Genomic DNA, 19298 nt, shown 5'->3' with positions numbered 1-19298 from the left:
GTTGTTTCCATAGGGATCCTGGGTAGTAAACTCTCATTTGTATTAATCTGAAAGTAAAAGTCTTTCTTCTATCTTTACTGAAGAATGATGAGAGTTCAGCTTGGTACAGAATTCTGAGTTGCCAATGTTTTTCACTAAACTTTGAAGATTTTACGCTACCATATTCTCACTACTGTTGTGGCAACTGAAAAGTCTGATGTTGGCCTAATTGTTAATCCTTTACACGTAATGTATTTTTTCTCCCCAGCAGGTTGTTTTCTTTTTTAGAGACAGGGTCTCGCTCTATTGCCCAAGCTGGAGTGCAGTGGCACAATCATAGCTCACTACTGCCCTGAAGCCCTTAGCTAAGGTCAAGGGATACTCTCGCCTTCGACTTCTGAGTAGCCAGGACTACATGTACACACCACACCTGGTAAGTTTTTTTTCTTGTTGTTGCCTGGTTAGTTTTTTGTTGTTGTTGTTAGTTTTGTTGTTGTTGTTGTTTGTGGAGACGCAGTCTCACTGTTGCCCCGGCTGGTCTCAAACTCCTGGTCTCAAGTGATCCTCCTACCTTGACCTCCACTAGGATTACAGGCGTGAGCCATCATGCCCAGTCTACCTGGCAGTATTTAAGATTAGTTTATCTATGGTTCCACTATGCTGTATGTAGGTGTAGATATTTTCCTGCTCAAGAATAATTTGTTCCTGAATTGAAGAATCCATTCCTATCATCAAAATCAGAAAAATTCTCAGCAATTCTCTCTTAAGATTGCCTCCCATTCTCTTTATCCACTCCTGAAACTCCTACATATAAGTTGGGCTCAATTTACATAGAGTTCTTTTTAATAATTTCTATCTTCCTATCTTTCCTATTGCTTGCTGGGTAATAGCTCATCAGATCTATGTTCCAATTCACTAACTGTTCCTGCAGCTCTCTATAATCTGCAACTACACTAATATACTGAGTTTTCCATTTTAGTTACTATATATTTCATGTCTAAAATCCTGTTTTGATCTTTTATAACCCGGTTGGTTTTATTTACAGTACCTTTGTTTTTTTCCTCGCGTTTTAAATCATTTCTTTATGCATTTATTAATTATAATAGCTAATATTTACTGAGTGTTACTACATAGATAATTAACATTTAATTCTCACAACATTATGGGGTAAGGCTATTATTCTTCTCACAGATGAGAAAACTGAGGCAAAAAAGTATACACTCATACAGCAAGTGGCAGACCCAAGATTCAAACACACTGTACTAAACAGCTAGTGCTAGCTGGGCACGGTGCCTCACGCCTGTAATCCTAACACTACGAGAGGCTGAGTTGGGAGGATCACTTGAGTCCAGGAGCTGAAGACCAGCATGGGCAACATAAGGAGGTTCTGTCTCTATAAAAATTAAAAATTAAGAAAATAAAAATTAAAAACCTAGTGCTACTTCAGCTTTTGCTCTCAATAGTCATGAAACAACATCCTAACAAGTCATATCTGATCATCCATTCTGGAGAGTGTGCCCATGCCTCTCAGTCCGTCCTTTAATCATTTAGTTTATACTCTCGTTCTATTATCCAGCGTTCCTAAGGGTCTGATCACTCCATTTGTTCTTACTCCCATTATTGGTTCAGGGGAGATTACAATCCACAAGTGATTAACTAATGTGGAATTGTAAATTCATTCTAAGCAATGCTTTTACCTGTGGGAATCTACACGTACTAGGTTGAGAGAATGTCCCTTCAGAGCAGTTATGTCTATTCAAACTCAAACCTGCATGATGAGAGACCTTTCTCCACAAAATCAAAGCCAAGGAGAATAAGTCAGTCTCTCATATTGCCATTAATACTGGTAGGAGGAATTTTTTTCTCGTCCGACCTTTCTCAGGATAGTACTAGATTTATGCGGAGGTCTTGGCTTCAGATCCCTATCTCACTTAGGACCAAGGTCTATCCGCTGTCCAAGTGTTATCGTTGATTCATGTGAAGTTCTACTCTTGTTTTGTTTTCCTCTTTTTCCATTTATGTCCAATACCCATCCCTCCTTCAATATGCAGCTATTCTAATATGTTTTAATATGTTCCTGAATATGTATCTTAGAAACACAGAGGGTGATTTTTATATTCATACATGTTTTCAATTTATATTAATGTTACATACCTCAACCTGTTTTTTACTTTTAAAAAACGGGATGGATGCTGTTTTTTAAACAACACACTACTTGTAACAAGTACTGTAAAGTGAGCCGAGACTGCGCCATCGCACTCAAGCCTGGGCAACAAGAGTAAAACTCCGTCTCAAAAAAAAAAAAAAGTAAACATAGATAGTACTTATATCTATCCCTGCTTCTGCATCACTGCTTTTGACTTTTGTACAGTATTCCATGGTACATATCCACAATACTTTATTTATCCAACCCCCTAGTAATAAACACTTATGCTGCTTTTAATTCCTTCTTCCCACAAATAATACTGTGGTGAACATCCTTATACATGTCCTTTTGTGGACCAGCAGGAAAGTTTTTCTGGGAAATATACCAAGGAATGGGATTACTGAAACCACCTACGTCATTTGTGTTACTGTTTGCCCAAATCCTCACAAGCACTGAATGTTATCTCACATTCTAATTTTTATCAATTTGATGAACAAAATATAGTATTTCATCATCTTTGAAATTTGCATTTCTTTATTTACTAGTAAGATTGATGATATCATGGCATAGTTGTTAACCACTTAGGTTTCTTTATCTGTTAATTGTCTATTCAAATCCTTCCCTCTCCCTATAGTCTCTATTGATTTTTGAGGTTTTTTTTTTTTTTTTTTTTTTTTTTTGAGACAGAATCTCACTCTGTCGCCAGGCTGGAGTGCAGTGGCATGATCTCAGCTCACTGCAACCTCCGCCTCCTGGGTTCAAGCAATTCTCCTGCCTCAGCCTCCTGAGTAGCTGGGACTACAGGCACGTGCCACCACGCCCAGCTAATTTTTTTATTTTTAGTAGAGACGGGGTTTCACCATGTTGGCCAGAATGGTGTCGATCTCTTGACCTCATGATCCGCCCGCTTCAGCCTCCCAAAGGGCTGGGATTACAGGCGTGAGCCACCACACCTAGCCTCAAGCATCTCTTTTTTATTCTTTATCTGAATCCTTACTATTTTAAGAGGCTCTAAAAAAACTCTTCTCCCAATCTCATCTGTTAGCTTTGCCAATGGTTTTCTTTCTTGAACAGAAATGCTTAAATTTGATGGAGACATTTAAGTTATCTTACCCAATATATTCCTACTAAACATTTTTATTGATTAGCTTTATAGTTTCTCTTTAACACTGAGGTCTTTAATCCATCTAGAGTTCACTGTTTCATCTAGCATGAAGTAGGTGGCCAACTTTATTCTCCATATGGTATGTCAGTTTTCTCATACTTGCTTAATTTTGCACTAGTTTATGACTGACTATCTCTCCACATAAATGTTTCTGATTTCACACTCCCTGTTCTTTTCATATCTGCTCCTTCCTGTGCTAGTTACCGCACTGTTCTGAGGTGCACTGTTTGGTTTCGTTTGGTTTATGACTCTGTATTTTCATGTCTCACAGGGCAGGGTTCTCCCATCTTCTCTTCTCTTTTTGTTTAATGTTAGAATAGCTTTATTCATCCATATACATTTTTAAAAATTTAATAGAGGTAAGATATACAGACATAAAATTTGCTATCTCAATCATTTTAAGTCTACAGTTCAGTAGTGTTGAGTATATTCACACTGTTGTGCAACCAATCTCCAGAACTCATTTCACCTTACAAAACTAAAATTCTATACCCATTAAACTCCACATTCTCTCCTTCCCAGCCGCTGGTAACCACCTTTCTACTTTCTGTCTCCATGAATTTGACTCTAGGTATGACAAGTGGAATCATATGTAGTATTTGTCTTTTTGTAACTCCTCCTTACAAAATTTAAAATAAAATGAATTCCTAAAAAATACTGTTTGTTTTTTTTGTTTGTTTTGTTTTGAGACGGAGTCTCGCTCTTGTCACCCAGACTGGAGTGCAGTGGTGCGATCTCAGCTCACTGTAACCTCCGCCTCCTGGGTTCAAGTGATTCTCCTGCCTCAGCCTTCCGAGTAGCTGAGATTACAGGTGCGCACCACCGTGCCCAGCTAATTTTGTATTTTTAGTAGAGACGGGTTTTCACTATGTTGGCCAGGCTGGTCTTGAACTCCTGACCTCAGATAATCCACCTGCCTCAGCCTCCCAAAGTGCTGGGATTATAGGCGTGAGCCACCGTGCCCGGCCGACTGCTTGGTGTTTTAATTGGAAATGCAGAAGAATATATACATTAACTTCAGGAAAACTGATATCCCTGCAGGATTAAATTATACCATCTATTGACATGGAGTATCTTTTAATTTATTTATTTTTCCTCATATCCTTGGGTAGAGTATTAGGCTTTCTTGTTTTTTCTTGGGGAGTGGGGAACAACTTGAGGATGAAAATGACTATTTTTAAATATTTGATAGAAAATATCAAATATTGGGCTGGGCGCGGTGGCTCATGCCTGTAATCCCAGCACTCTGGGAGGCCAAGGTGGGCAGATCATAAGGTCAGGAGATTGAGACCAGCCTGGCTAACACAGTGAAACCCCATTTCTACTAAAAATACAAAAAATTAGCTGGGCGTGGTGGCATGCACCTGTAGTCCCAGCTAGTTGGGAGGCTGGGACAGGAGAATCACATGAACTTGAGAGGTGGAGGTTGCAGTGAGCCAAGATTGTGCCACTGCACTCCGGCCTAGGCGAAAGAGCAAGAATCTGTCTCCAAAAAAAAAAAGAAAGAAAATATCAAATATTTTCTCCTCGAAAGCCATCTGGGCCTTAGGATTTGGGAGGGAAAAAGGGATGAGGTTGATTACCATTTCAATTTCTATAACGACTGTTGTTCATGTTTTCTCTTATCTCTTGAACTTCTTCTGTCATTTTATATTTTTCCAGAAACTTATTTCTTCTTGTTTTTCAAGCTTATTCGAATATAATTGTTTAGAGTTGTCTTATATTATTTTTAAACTCTGTAGTACTAGTAGTTACTTCTCCTTTATCATCTGTAAGAGCTGTTCCTGTCCTATTAACCTTTTTCAAATAACTACCTCTTGGTGTTGTTTTATTCTCTATTAATTTCTCACCTTATATTTATTATTCTTTATTGTTTTTGGATTAACTGTTTTTTCTAAGTTTCCTGATTTGAACACCTAGATTACTTGCTTTTCTTTCTTATTTTCTGATAAATATGTTAAAAACTAGCTATTTCCCTCTAAATACTGCTTTAGTTACACCCCACAGATTTTTTTCTAATTATGTTCCACAAATTTTTATATAGAGAGCTTTCACTGCCACTCATTTTTAAATGTTTATATTTTTCCTTTAACCCACAGGTCATTTTGGTAGTATGTTTCAAGATTATATACTTATTTTGGTTTTCTGCTGCTGTTCTTTACTACCTTTATTACTACTTTACTATCTTTACTCCTGATTTCTAATTTTGCTGCATTAGGAGTGCAAAGTCATGTGACTTTGACTCTTGGGAATTTTAAAGTTTCCTTTATGACCCAGTACATGGTTAGTTTTTACGACTGTTCAGTAAGTTCTTGAAAATATTGTTTATTCTCTATGTTAGGACAAAATTCTATATACACATCTATGAACTTGAGCTTGTTAATGTTATTAAAACTTTATGTTGATGCTTCTTTATTTGATCAAATTCTGACAGGAGCACATCCAAATGACCAACTACAATTGTTGATTTATCTGTTTCACCTCATTGCTGCTATATATACATTTATTTGTTTACTTATAGACAGAATCTTGCGCTGTCACCCAGGGGTATGATCTTAGCTCACTGCAACCTCTACCTCCTGGGTTCAAGCAATTCTCCTGCCTCAGGCTCTCAAGTAGCTGAAAACTACAGGTGCGTGCCACCACGCCCAGCTCATTTTTGTATTTTCAGTAGAGACAGGGTTTCACTATGTTGGCCAGGCTGGTCTCGAACTCCTGAACTCAGGTGATCCACCCGCCTCAGCCTCCCAAAGTGCTGGGATTACAGGCGTGGGCTGCCGCGCCCGGCCCGCTTTATGTATTTAAATGCCATGCTGTTAGGTGCATCGATCGGCACGGTTATATTTTCTTGATCTACTGTTTCTTTTATCAGCATATAACATTGCTCTGTGTGCCTTAAAAGATAATTTAATCAATATTAAAATAAATCATATTTGGGAAGGCCTATTTTCCTGATATAACTTTTATTTTTAAATTTTTTTCTATCTCTGTATTTTTAACTTTGCTGTTACTTTTTGTCTGTTTAACTCTTGTTGACAGTATCTTTCTGTATCTTTTTAGCCCAACTGAGATTTATATTTTCATTTTGATCTAAGTACTTATTTGTATTTATTGACTTTCCCATGATTTGTACTTATCTCAGCCTTCTTTTTCATGGTGTCCACATGCTATCACATTTCTTTCTCTCCCCTCCCCATTCTTCTCTATTCTCCACTGGGTAAACTGGGTTTTACTCTGACGGTTTGAAACTTATACATTCCATTTTGATTTTTCTAGCGTATTAAGAGCCATACTTATGCTTGTATTTTCTTAAGCTTATCATTATCTTCTTAAGTAACTGTATTTTCTTAAGCTTATCATTATCTTCTTAAGTAACTTAATGTAACTTCTTAAGCTTATCAGTATCTACATCTTCCCACAAACAAGACATTACCCCATCACCACCGTAAGCAGTGCCATCTCACCAGCTGGAGCTGGGGGAGTGGTTGTGGCAGGAAGCAAGCCTCCCAGATCAGAACGCCTCTGGCATGATCATCTGTACCGCTGCTAGAACAAATGCTCTGCCCCAGGTATAGAGAGGATGCTGAAAGGGGAAGGAGCACTCCAAAGCCAGTCTACCTTCACAAGCAGACTTGAATATCATACCAGTGTCACCCTGCAGCACCCACCCCCAACCCCTACCCCATAACTCAACAACCCACATACAACAGTGAGAGAAACACACTCATCTGAAAAAGATTCTAAGCCCTATCTCTTTTCATAGCACCCAGTCCTCTTTTACTCTGAGCAGCTGTTTCAGAGATTTAGATAGATATATACAGATATATCAATAGGCAGAGATAGAGATAGAGATAGAGATAGAGATAGAGATAGAGACACAGATAGAGATAGAGATAGAGACACAGATAGAGATAGAGATAGAGATAGAGACACAGATAGAGATAGAGATAGAGACACAGATAGAGATAGAGATAGAGATAGAGACACAGATAGAGATAGAGATAGAGATAGAGATAGAGATAGAGACACAGATAGAGATAGAGATAGAGATAGAGATAGAGACACAGATAGAGATAGAGATAGAGATAGAGACACAGATAGAGATAGAGATAGAGATAGAGATAGAGACACAGATAGAGATAGAGATAGAGATAGAGACACAGATAGAGATAGAGATAGAGATAGAGATAGAGACACAGATAGAGATAGAGATAGAGATAGAGACACAGATAGAGATAGAGATAGAGATAGAGATAGAGACACAGATAGAGATAGAGATAGAGATAGAGATAGAGACACAGATAGAGATAGAGATAGAGATAGAGATAGAGACACAGATAGAGATAGAGATAGAGATAGAGATAGAGATAGAGACACAGATAGAGATAGAGATAGAGATAGAGATAGAGACACAGATAGAGATAGAGATATAGAGATAGAGATAGAGATAGATAGATAGAGATAGAGATAGATAGAGATAGAGATAGAGATAGATAGAGATAGAGATAGAGATAGAGATAGAGACACAGATAGAGATAGAGATAGAGATAGAGATAGAGATAGATAGAGACACAGATAGAGATAGAGATAGAGATAGAGATAGAGATAGAGATAGAGACACAGATAGAGATAGAGATAGAGATAGAGATAGAGATAGAGATAGATAGAGATAGAGACACAGATAGAGATAGAGATAGAGATAGAGATAGAGATAGAGATAGATAGAGATAGAGATAGATAGAGATAGAGATAGAGATAGATAGAGATAGAGATAGAGATAGAGATAGAGACACAGATAGAGATAGAGATAGAGATAGAGATAGATAGAGATAGAGATAGAGATAGAGATAGAGATAGAGATCATCAGCCTTTGTTTCATTTGCCACTGTATCCCCAGTGCTCAGAAGGGTTCTCAGCAGGTACTCCCAAAACCGTGTTGAATGAAGAGATCAATCAATACATCTTTCTCTTCTTTCACAATCTCGTCACAAAAGATGCCTATCTCTTTCTGAGGCTATGTAATTCCATCAACCTAAATCCTTTTCTCCTCTCTACCAACATGAATTGTTTCTTCTTCTCCCCATCTTTCTTTGTGGCTAGTCCTCAACCTACCAATCAAACAAGAGTCATGGTCGTCTATGCACATCATAATTAGCGAAGTCAGAAATGATGAATTCCAGTCCCAAAACTAATACCAAGTAGTTGTATAGGCCTTCAGCATGTCACTATATTCTCTCTGCACAGGGAGGAATTGCAGCGTTATGATCAAGAACGCAAGTTTGCGGGTTTGAATCGATCGGGCACTAGGTCATGTAACCTCAGTCTCTCTAAGTTTTAACTCCCCATCTGTAAAATGTTACAACAATTCTTATTTCTTAGAAGGTTACTCTAAGAATTAACTGGGAAAATGAAAGTATACAAACCCTCCATGGTACAAGACTCAGGTTAGATATTATCATACATATTCTTTAAATTACGGAAAGACTGGATGATCTCTAAAAATGCCCTCTAGTTCTAAGAATGTATTACTAACTCTTAGTATGCTGAAGAAGTCAGAACTGGGCTGGGACTGCAAGCAGAGGGTGCACGTCAAACAACAGCATCCTAGCTCTAGTGCCTAGTGCCAAAACATCCTAGAGCAAGGGCAGGTCCTCACCTTGTGCTAGATGCTGATCTCCTGAGCACCTCCGAAAAAAAGAACCACTTCCTCTTACTATTACTAAGATATAGATTATATTCCTTACCTATAATAAACAGAATTCCAAAACACAATTTCCTGGAGAAGGGGAAAAACCTGTACTACTTTGAAGCAGTAAGGTGTACATTATTTTGGCTTATTGATACAATCAGCTCTGCTCTGCACATTGAGAATTCATCCTGAAAATACATTTAATGGTAGGTCCCTAGTATAGCATCACAATTTTGGAACAAGAAAAGAACTTTAATTCTTGAGAATACTGTAAATGATATATCAAAAGTCCCAGTGTTACTAGTGAGAGTAGCCTCAAGTGCCAGTCAAAAGTGGTATGCTAATAAGCAGTTCACAAAATTCTCAATTATAAAAGCAAAACAACAATAATTATCTTGTCTAACCCATGCCATTACTATGAAGAGCAAATAAAACAATAAAGATCAAATCAAATCAAAGTGCTATAAACTGTAAGGTGTTTCGAAATTTTTTAACCCACTGAATTTAAATTTCCCTCCATGGCTGGACACAGTGGCTCCTGCCTATAATTCTTGTGCTTTGGGGGCTGAGGCAGGAGGACTGCTTGAAGCCAGGAGTTCAAGAACATCCTGGGCAACATAGTGAGACCCTGTCTCTACAAAAAATACAAATTAAAAAATCAGCCAGGAGAGGTGGCCTGCATCTGTAGTCCTAGCTACTCAAGATGCTGAAGTGGGAGGATCACCTGAGCCCAGAAGTTCAAGGTTACAGTGAGCTATGATCAAGGCACTGCACTACAGCCTGAATGACAAAGTGAAACCTTGTCGCAAAAAAAAAATAATAAATTAATAAAAAAATGTCCCTCCATATTCAGATGAGAACAGAATTAAACACCTAGTCATAAAAACCTTAGGAAGTTGTTATTATCATTATCCTCATTTTATAGATGAGGAAATGGAGGCTTAAAGAAGTAAAGTAACTCCTGAATGGATGCGGTGGCTCACACCTGTAATCCCAGCACTTTGGGTGGCTGAGGAGGACAGATCACCTGAGGTCGGGAGTTCGAGACCAGCCTGACCAACAGGGAGAAACCCCATCTCTACTAAAAATACAGAATTAGCCAGGTGTGGTGGCACATGCCTATAATCCCAGCTACTCGGGAGGCTGTGGCAGGAGAATCGCTTGAACCCAGGAGGCGAGGTTGTGGTGAGCCAAGATTGTGCTATTGCACTCCAGCCTGGGCAACAAGAGCAAAACTCCATCTCACACACACACACACACACACACACACACACACACACACACACACACACACACACACAAAGAAGAAGTAAAGTAACTCCTCTAAGGTCACACAACTAGTAAAGGTAGAGGGCTGGTTTTCAAGCCTATGTCTGACACCAAAGACCATGCTTTTAACCACTATATTACTAAATCCAGACCACCTCTGTGAAAGTCATCAGATTAAAAGAGATGGTTACAAAACGGGAGCGATTCCATATATACTGTACCTTGTATAACACCAGAGGGCCTTAGTCCATGTACCCTGAATAGGGAAAAAAAAAACAAAAAAAACAAAACAAAACAAAAAACAAACAGATCTTTTCACATGTAACTGTTTTCCTTAAAGGATTTTTAAAATTTTTTAAACTCCAGGCTAGGCACAGTGGCTCACGCCTGTAATCCGAGCACTTTGGGAGGCAGAGGCAGGAGGATTGCTTGAGCTCAGGAGTCCCAGACCAGCCTAGGCAACACAGTGAGACTCTGTCTCTGCAAAAAGTTTTAAAAATTAGCCAGGTGTGGTGGCACATGCCTATAAGTCTTGGCTACTCAGGAGGCTGAGGCAGGAGAAGCGTTTGATCCCAGGAGTTCCAGGCTGCAATGAGCTATTAATATAATCATGCCACTGCACTCCAGCTTGGGTGACAGAGTAAGATTCTATCTCTAAAAATAAAAATGAAAGAAAAACTCCATGCTCCATGTTCTTTTTTCATATATACTTAATTTAGTAATCCGAGTGTTAGATCGAAGTCTGGGATAGCTGCAGAAAAGATGAAATCAACTAAGAGCAAATTATAGAAACACATGAAAACTTTCAAAGAGCTGGTATAAACTGCCTTTTACTGGGCTCTAACACTGGCAAGTTACATTGGAAAAGGTGACTCTTGTCAAGTGCCACCAGAGTAATTTTTTAAGCAATGCTAATAAATAGACATATTACATTCTTAAAATCATCCCAAATTCCAAAGAAAGTTAGCTTTCATTCTTTTATCTTTTATGATGAGATGGTTCTATTTGCGCAGTGGCCCTAGTAACTTACAGAAATAATCACTGAGACTCAGCTACTCCTGCAATGGCTAAAAACTAAAAACCATTCATGAATGACAATAAATACAATCTATTCTCTATGGTACAAGAAACCAATCACAAGCCCATCTGGGTGAGACCTGGCTAATAAGAATATTATTTGAGGGGGGTACAAAGAGAAGCATGGATTGCCAAGGGGGAAAAGTCATTTATTAGACTGTGACAAGCTTTTAAATGTTTGCATTATCATTAACCAACTGCTTGGTTCTCTGGTTTGTACACCTGCCACCTCCATCCAAAGCTATTACAGTAGCAAACTTGGAAGTGCGGCTGACCTCTAGAACACTGGCACCCTCTTCTGACCCTTTTGCTGTATTGCATGCACTCAAGCTACTGAAGTGAAAAACGATTAATAAAGCTATTACATTTTAAAATAACTTAAAGAGTGTAATTGGATTGTTTGTAACTCAAAGGATACACGATTGAGGGGATGGATACCGCCATTCTCCATAATTTATTTTCACATTGTATGCCTGTATTAAATATCTCACATACCCCATAAATATATATACCTACTATGCACCCACAAAAAATTTTTAAAATAAAGCTATAAATGAATAACTTTGCAGGTAACATTATCTAGATGATTTCATATTTATAATTCCCTGAATAAACCTAAGTTTAGCTTAATAAAAGTAAGAAAATGCAGATCATCTAAATACTATGTTCTCTTAACATCTCAACAGTATATGCATTAGTTGATTTTATTAGAAGAATTATAAAATGATAACAATGACGAATGTACAAAGACTTTACTATGTGCCAGACACTGGCAGTAAATAAACGAGTTTAATTCTAACAACAAACTTATGAGTTAAGCACTACTATTCTCTTCACCTTACAGACGTGAAAAGTGAAGTGTAAGGAAGTTGAATACGTTCCCAGGATCACGCGACTCATAGTAAGTGGTAAAGATGGAAGTCCAAACTCAGTAAACATGACTCTAGAGCCAAAGCCTTAGCCACTACTGCATCTCATGATTTTATACCCAAATATCTCTGTGAGGTAGAATGGAGCTGACATCATAACAAAATGAAACATAACTAAAATAGAAAAAGTGTAAGTTATAAGAAAAATGACAAACATGTCAGCTAAAATCTCCCATTTTTAACAAAGCCCCAAATTGTACAGATAAAAATATTACATGAAACAGTTTAGGTTCCTTCTTCATTCTTCCTTATTGGAAGATTCTTGTCTTCTAAGACTATGAGGTTTTTATTCTTTCTTTTCCTCCTCATTCCTTTTTTCCACCAAATTATGTTCTTATTTTTCTTTAAAGAAAAAAAGCTAATCTACATCATATGCTTTATGTTTCTTCTATAAAGCAAAACTACTTATCTATTCTTAAATTATCTATTTCACTGCAACCTTTAAAAAATATTTATATTAAGACAGTAAATCCACATGGTATCATCAACTCTTTCTCTTCGATCATTGAAAGTAAGATAGATAAGAATCGATCTGGGATTATTTAGCAAATACACTAAATATCTATCTGAAGTCATATACCTATCTGAAGATGGTGGATACCTAACTGAAGTCATAGCCAATAGTCTAGATCATCTTCCAAGATTTTGAAAAACACTGCCCGGGCATGGTGGCTCATGCCTGTAATCCCAGCACTTTGGGAGGCAGAGGCGGGCGGATCAAGAGGTCAGGAGTTCGAGACCAGCCTGGCCAATATGGTGAAACCCCATCTCCACTAAAAATACAAAAATTAGCCAGGCTTGGTGGCATGCGCCTATAATCCCAGCTACTCAGGAGGCTGAGGCAGGAGAATCACCTGAATCCAGGAGGCGGAGGTAGTGGTGAGCCAAGATCACGCCAAGCCAAGATCACACCACTGCACTCCAGCCTGGGCAACAGAGCGAGAGGCCATCTCAAAAAAAAAAAAAAAATTCTAAAAACACTAACTTTATTTTCAAACAGGATATGAAGACACATTGTCTAATAATCTGTGGTTTAAAATTAGACTATCTAGAACTTTAACAGATTCCAGTTTCCTATATACAGTTATTCATAATATCACAACTTAAAGACACTTAAATGTACTCCAAACACAGTGTAACCAAGCTCATTGTCATTCATGACTAGAAAATTCACCAGGGGTTGAACTGAAGCTTCTAAATCAATGATTTCTCTTTTACAATTATCCTTTTATTTTTAATACTGTCAGAGTATACTTTGAAGTACAGACTTGGCAAAAGTTTAAAGAATTAAAAACATAAACTGCACCTGTTTTAACTTGTTAGATCTAAGAACAACTGAAATAAGATGGTTACATTTTAGCACAGTGACTGATCACGCTGCTGAAGAATTAATCATAACATTACTCATATTTCCCAATTCTAAACATAACAAAAACAGCACAGGTAACGCTTATGAAAAGGTGCCAAGAAACCAACTCCCCACAAATCCCAGAATTGTTTCTACCTCAGTCTGCAGGATGGCAGCCCTCTGCTCCTTAGCAGTCAAGGACTCCTTCAACACTTCAATGTGCTGTTTACTATCTGAGAACTGGTTTGTGAGTGTTTCTAGCTTTGTCTGCAGGGCGAGTAGTTCTGTGTCCTTTCTGGACAGCTCCTGTTTCACCTGGCCAATCTAGAAAAGAAGTAAAACACTTTAAGGAAAAAAGAAATAAAACAAACACCTCTTATCTGTATCTTTCACAGATCTGAGTCACAAAATATGAAACTAAATGCAGCACGAACTGTGTGATAGGTCATATTCATCTTTTTGCATGACATAACCTTGGATCTCCCCAACCCTGAGCCAAAAAAAACCACTAAACTTATTCAACCAATAGGGAAATGTCCAGTTTTCATTTATTGTGTCTTCTAAATATTCTTTGAAACCTCTTAGAAAGGGAATGGAGGGAAAGGAAATTCCAATTCAATTAGATGACTATGAGACAGCAGTAAGCAACTGAACACCACTGTACTGATGAAATGGTTTTCATTTTTCTAGGTGAGACCTCTTCAGAACATGATGGATCAAATGCAGGATGAGTGCAGATATAACAAAAAAGGTTTTAGAAACCTCCTAGTACTATTTAAAATTCAAAATCTGCTGCTGTTGTGCTAATTTTTCACTGTTATCTTTTTCATTCTCAAAAGTTTGCATAAAATTCTTATCTTAAAAAGCCACTTTTAATGTTATACATAACATGGTTTTGTAAAATCCTATAATTTGATGTTATGTGTATTGATTAATTTCTCTCTTAACATTGAAAGTATTTTCTTTCTAACACCTTCTTTACATTCCTGTTTTCTAAGAATTTTAAAAATAGTTTTTTACCCTAAATGGAAGCCATGTAAACAGAAATTACATCTCCTTTTAAATTATGTCTACCACCTAACAAGGAACTAAAAAAGATACTAATTATTGGAAGTATACATTTGACAAGTCAGTAATTTCGGTGTCACTGATGAAACAAAAAGTTATCTTTTCATTTTCAAAAACTTGAATGTATCTAAAGTATTGTAATTGTAATAATCTTAGGTATAAGGGATAAAGCTTTTGAGAACAATTTCCCATGAAGAAATAAATTTCACATTAATTAAAATTAGACCTTTGAGGAACACCAAAAATAAATTTCCAATTTAGCCTTCTGTTTCAAAAAAGATTAAGTATTTTTCTCATATGCATAAAATCTCTTTTTAGAGATATAGTTATTCATTCATTCAACAAATATTTCTGTATGCTTATTGTATACAAAGTACCTGAGGATACTAAAAACATCAGTGGAAGATAATTTTAAACGGTGGCTATATTCATCCTGCAAAATAGTATGTACCCAAGAGTTAGCACACACTGTAACAACGTGGAGTCTTTTATGATATCCCTTCACCAATAAAAACAACCCATTAACACTATTCCATTCCCTAACACACTGATTGTAACAAAAACACATTTGTTGTATGAATGAATATTTTGGGGGATGTTCAAAGTGTTACCATTTTCTCAGCTAAAGAACTATGACTAAGATTATTCAAATTTCCAGCTACCTCCAATCACGTGGTCAAAAATAAATATAAAAATCTGTTTCGTCATCATCTGCATTATTAAGTAAGCTTCAAATAATGCTATATTGACCTTAAAGACTAAGAAAGAAAAGAAAATATTTTAAATGAAAAGCAGGGTTTAGGCCGGGTGCAGTGGCTCACGCCTGTAATCATTGCACTTTGGAAGGCCGAGGCGGGTGGATCACAAGGTCAGGAGATCAAGACCATCCTGGCCAACATAGTGAAACCCATCTCTACTAAAAATACAAAAATCAGCTGGGCATGGTGGCGCATGCCTGTAATCCCAGCTACTCAGGAGGCTGAGGCAGGAGAATCGCTTGAACCAGGGAGTCAGAGGTTGCAGTGAGCCGAGATCTCGCCACTGCACTCCAGCCTGGCGACAGAGAAAGACTCTGTCTCAAAAAAATAAAGAAAAAGAAAAAAAGAAAAGAAAAGCAGAGTTTAGAAGCACAAATTTTCCTTAAAGACTGAGAAGGGAAGACATTATAAAGGGGAAGCAAATATAATACAAAGCTTAGGAGCACAAGGCTTTGCAGACATTCACCTATCAGAACTAAGCTAGCTATGTGTCCCTGAATAATTACTTTCCTAATCAGTTTCCTAATTAGTAATAAGGAGAAATTATACGAATGCCACTGTACTGTTTATGGATTCAGTAAAATAAAGCGTGAAATGTGCTTAGCCTGTTGTCTGACTCAATGCAGAAATTACTAATAGTAGCTATTTTAAAAAGGAAGTTATTGATCAACCTTCCCTCTAGCCAATATATGGTTTCCATAAACCAAATTAGACCCTTTCCACCAAAATATTTCCCTTTTTAATATATACTATAAAGTGGACCATAAATAGCAAATCTACAAAAGTAGCCCAAGTTTGGTTTTTTAAATGCTGTATTTTTTTATTCCAGTCTTAGCCACAATTATTTTCAGAAGCAGTTTTTGCTGACACTTTGACAAATGTGTGCACAGCCTAGTATAGGTCAGTAAAGAACTTGTAAGCAGTATGTGGAAGAAGACTGCCTGTATAAAACCAAATCCTGCCTCTTACTAGCTGTGTTTTCCTAGGCACCATTCTGTTACCTCAGTTTCCTCGTCTATAATTTGGAGTTGATAATATGTCTAACTCAGCACGTTATAAAATGTTTACAGTAAGTGTGCAAGTGTTAGCTACTTTATTATTCAGCCATCCCTCGGTATCCATGGGTCCATGGGGGACTGGTTCCAAGACACACCTTGGATACCAAAATTAATGAAGGCTGAAGTCCCTGATATAAAATGATGTAGAATTTGCATATAACCTATGCACATCCTCCAGTATAGTTTAAATCATCTCTAGATTACTTGTAATACGTAATACAATGTAAATATTTACAATGTAAATAGTTGTCATACTGTATTGCTTAGGGAATAATGACATGGGAAAAAAGCCTGTACATGTTCAGCACAGACACAACATCCATTTTTTTACCCTGAAAATAAAAAACAGTTGGTTAAACACACAGATGCAAATCCACAGATATGGAGGGCCAACTGTATTTATTTTATTATTATGTTCTGAATTGAAATTTTAAGTTCATTAGAATATTGAACTAGATTTAGATACCTGAAATAAGTCTCTTAGTAATTTCAATTTACTAGATAAATACTTTCTATACATCTGTCCTAAAGAAAGTAACATTTGTGGCAAAATCACTCACTGGAGACTTAAAGATAATGTCTACATAAGGTAAAGCACTTTGCTCAAGAGTTTCAAATTCAAATAAACTCTAGGTGATAGGCCTAGAACAACTGCATATATTCTTGTACCTAGGAAGAAAAGAAGGCCGCCATTCATATAAACCAACAATAAAGGGTTGAGAAAGAAACAGGCTTTGAAATACCATCCACAGAGTGACAAAAGCAACAATAAAGTACCAGGTACAAGGCTTCCAGAACACGTGAAGGCTCACTGCACACAAAGTGACATGTGGGTCAAACTAGTGAACAGGAGTCAGTTAAAGAGCAGAGCAGGCTGGTTAGTGCTAGTAATGGGCAAAGCTGCCAACCATAGAGAATGAAAGGGTAAGCCACCCAGAAGCCATAGAGCTAGCAGGGTCCCACTGTGGGACCACTGCACACAAAGAGGTAAATCTTACGGCAAAGACCTCAGCCTGAAGACCAGCCGCTTTCTTTTTCAGCTCCTCCCATTGAGCCTCTTTCGAACTTAGTTCCTCCTTCAGTTGTTCTACCTGTCACGACATTATTATTCTTTTTCACTTATGTGTCAACTTAGGTCTTCTTCTTGTCTACTTTTGAGGCAGAATGGTAACTAGAAATAACAATAACTTATATAATACAATCAAATCTGTTCCCCTCATTCCCTCTTCAAAGAGCCATAGGTAGTTTCTAAGTTCACAGGTTTTTTCCCCCCACAGTGGACTGGAATGTGCTAATCAACAAATGAAAAACATAAACACAGAGATCATACGGCACTATGTCTTGTTCTCAAATCAGGGTGAAAAATCCAAACTAATAGAAAGTTGGTTATGTGAGGCCAGGCGCAGCAGCTCACACCTATGATTATATCCCAGCACCGTGGGAGGCCAAGGCAGGAGGATCACTTGAGGTCAGGAGTTCGAGACCTGCCTGGCCATCATAGTGAAACCCGTCTCTACTAAAACTACAAAAATTAACTGGGCATGGTGGTGGGCGCCTGTAATCCCAGCTACTCAGCAGACTGAAGCTTGAACCCTGGAGACGGAGGCTGCAGTGAACCGAGATCACGCCACTGCACTCCAGCCTGGTCGACAAAGCATACCTCCGACTCAAAAAAAAAGAAAAAGAAAAAAAAAAAAAGTTGGGTATGTGAGTTTTTAATTTCTAAAACTGAAATGAAAGTAGTAGAAATAATTAATAATAGAGTCTGGAGGTAGCAGAGGAATATTCTGTAGACTTATATGCCAGGTATGGGCACCATGGCAAGAAGCCAGAAACTGGAGGGGAAGTGATGTTATCATTCCTTCACACTACTGGGATGTTGCGGGTTTCATTTCTAAGAACCTGGAGAATACAACTGGGAAATAAAGGGGGAAAACACTTATTTTCTGGCTTAAACTTTATAATTACAATCATAATGTTTAATGAAACCACAACAAAACTGGTAAATTGATAATTGTGATAAACTAAATCCTCCAACTTGCCTAAATAGTTTACAGAATCAAACTAAATGACTTTGGATACAAGGAAGGAACATTGTGACTGATGATAAACACAGACTGATAGGTCTTGGTGGTATCAATCTTTGTCATATTACGCCTGAAGTGCACATGGGAAGCAATAAACCTGACAGCAAGTGGATCTTCCCCACAGGATAGGGCAAAGAAAGGGCTTTCCGTTACAGAACTGTATTTGGAGGGGAAACGTAACTTCATTTCACCCATTTCATTAAAAAGCCTCTTAGGGCTGGGCACGGTGGCTCACGTCTGTAATCCCAGCACTTTGGGAGATTGAAGTGGGTGGATCACCTGAGGTCAGGAGTTCAAGACCAGCCAGGCCAACAAGGTGAAACCCCATCTCTACAAAAAATACAAAAAATTAGCCAGGTGTGGTGGTACGCACCTGTAATCCCAGCTACTTGGGAGGCTGAGGCAGGAAAATCACTTGAACATGGAGGCAGAGGCTGCAGTGAGCTGAGATCACACCACTGCACTCCAGCCTGGGTGACAAGAGCGAAACTCCATCTCAAGCCTCTTAGGGTTTTGACTTTTTAAATAATTCACAAGAGGTAAAGAACCTGATGTTTCATATAGTGAGAAAAACTCATCTGGAAGTTTTTCGGAAGTACTAATAGATATGAAAACTTAAACCATGACAATACATATGTAGCCTCATACAGAGAATTGTCTTTATAAGTAAAAACTTGTAGTAACTATCTATGTCAGTAATTCTGACTTTAATTCTGGAGAAGTTT

General features: G+C 37.8%; 1 protein-coding gene and 1 long non-coding RNA gene across 54 annotated transcripts in view, besides 1 other annotated feature; one reads left to right on the top strand and one right to left on the bottom strand.

The window, feature by feature from the left end:
- ERC1 (ELKS/RAB6-interacting/CAST family member 1) overlaps positions 1-19298 on the bottom strand; it is a 505975-nt gene that overhangs the window by 366142 nt on the left and 120535 nt on the right. For 19 of the 53 annotated variants that reach the window (XM_047428566.1, XM_047428562.1, XM_047428558.1 and 16 more), the window contains 2 exons: positions 17494-17577; positions 13759-13926 (listed from right to left, as the gene is read on the bottom strand). The exons of 1 other annotated variant lie outside the window; for it this stretch is intronic. In XM_047428566.1, the coding sequence (XP_047284522.1) occupies positions 13759-13926; positions 17494-17577 (252 nt within the window). Of the gene's footprint in view, positions 1-13758; positions 13927-17484; positions 17578-19298 lie in introns of all 53 variants that reach the window. 33 more of the 53 variants (NR_027948.3, NR_027946.3, XM_047428570.1 and 30 more) reach the window with 2 other exon arrangements.
- Positions 317-14378, top strand: LOC124902857 (uncharacterized). The gene is made up of 3 exons (XR_007063157.1): positions 317-412; positions 12170-12226; positions 14293-14378. It is a non-coding gene; the product is annotated as an uncharacterized LOC124902857 (long non-coding RNA).
- Positions 13193-14392: an enhancer, noted in NCBI's record as "CDK7 strongly-dependent group 2 enhancer chr12:1224566-1225765 (GRCh37/hg19 assembly coordinates)". NCBI's record gives its function as "activates an origin of replication core promoter dependent on BRD2, BRD4, P300/CBP, MED14 and CDK7 cofactors, with strong dependence on CDK7, by STARR-seq in HCT116 cells {active_cell/tissue: HCT116}" and the evidence as "EXISTENCE:reporter gene assay evidence [ECO:0000049][PMID:35650434]".

This window comes from Homo sapiens, chromosome 12, assembly GCF_000001405.40.
Source record: "Homo sapiens chromosome 12, GRCh38.p14 Primary Assembly".
In the NCBI taxonomy this organism is placed as follows: domain Eukaryota; kingdom Metazoa; phylum Chordata; class Mammalia; order Primates; family Hominidae; genus Homo; species Homo sapiens.
The sequence above is the reverse complement of the archived record's forward strand: the minus strand, read 5'-3'. Positions and strand labels throughout refer to the sequence as shown.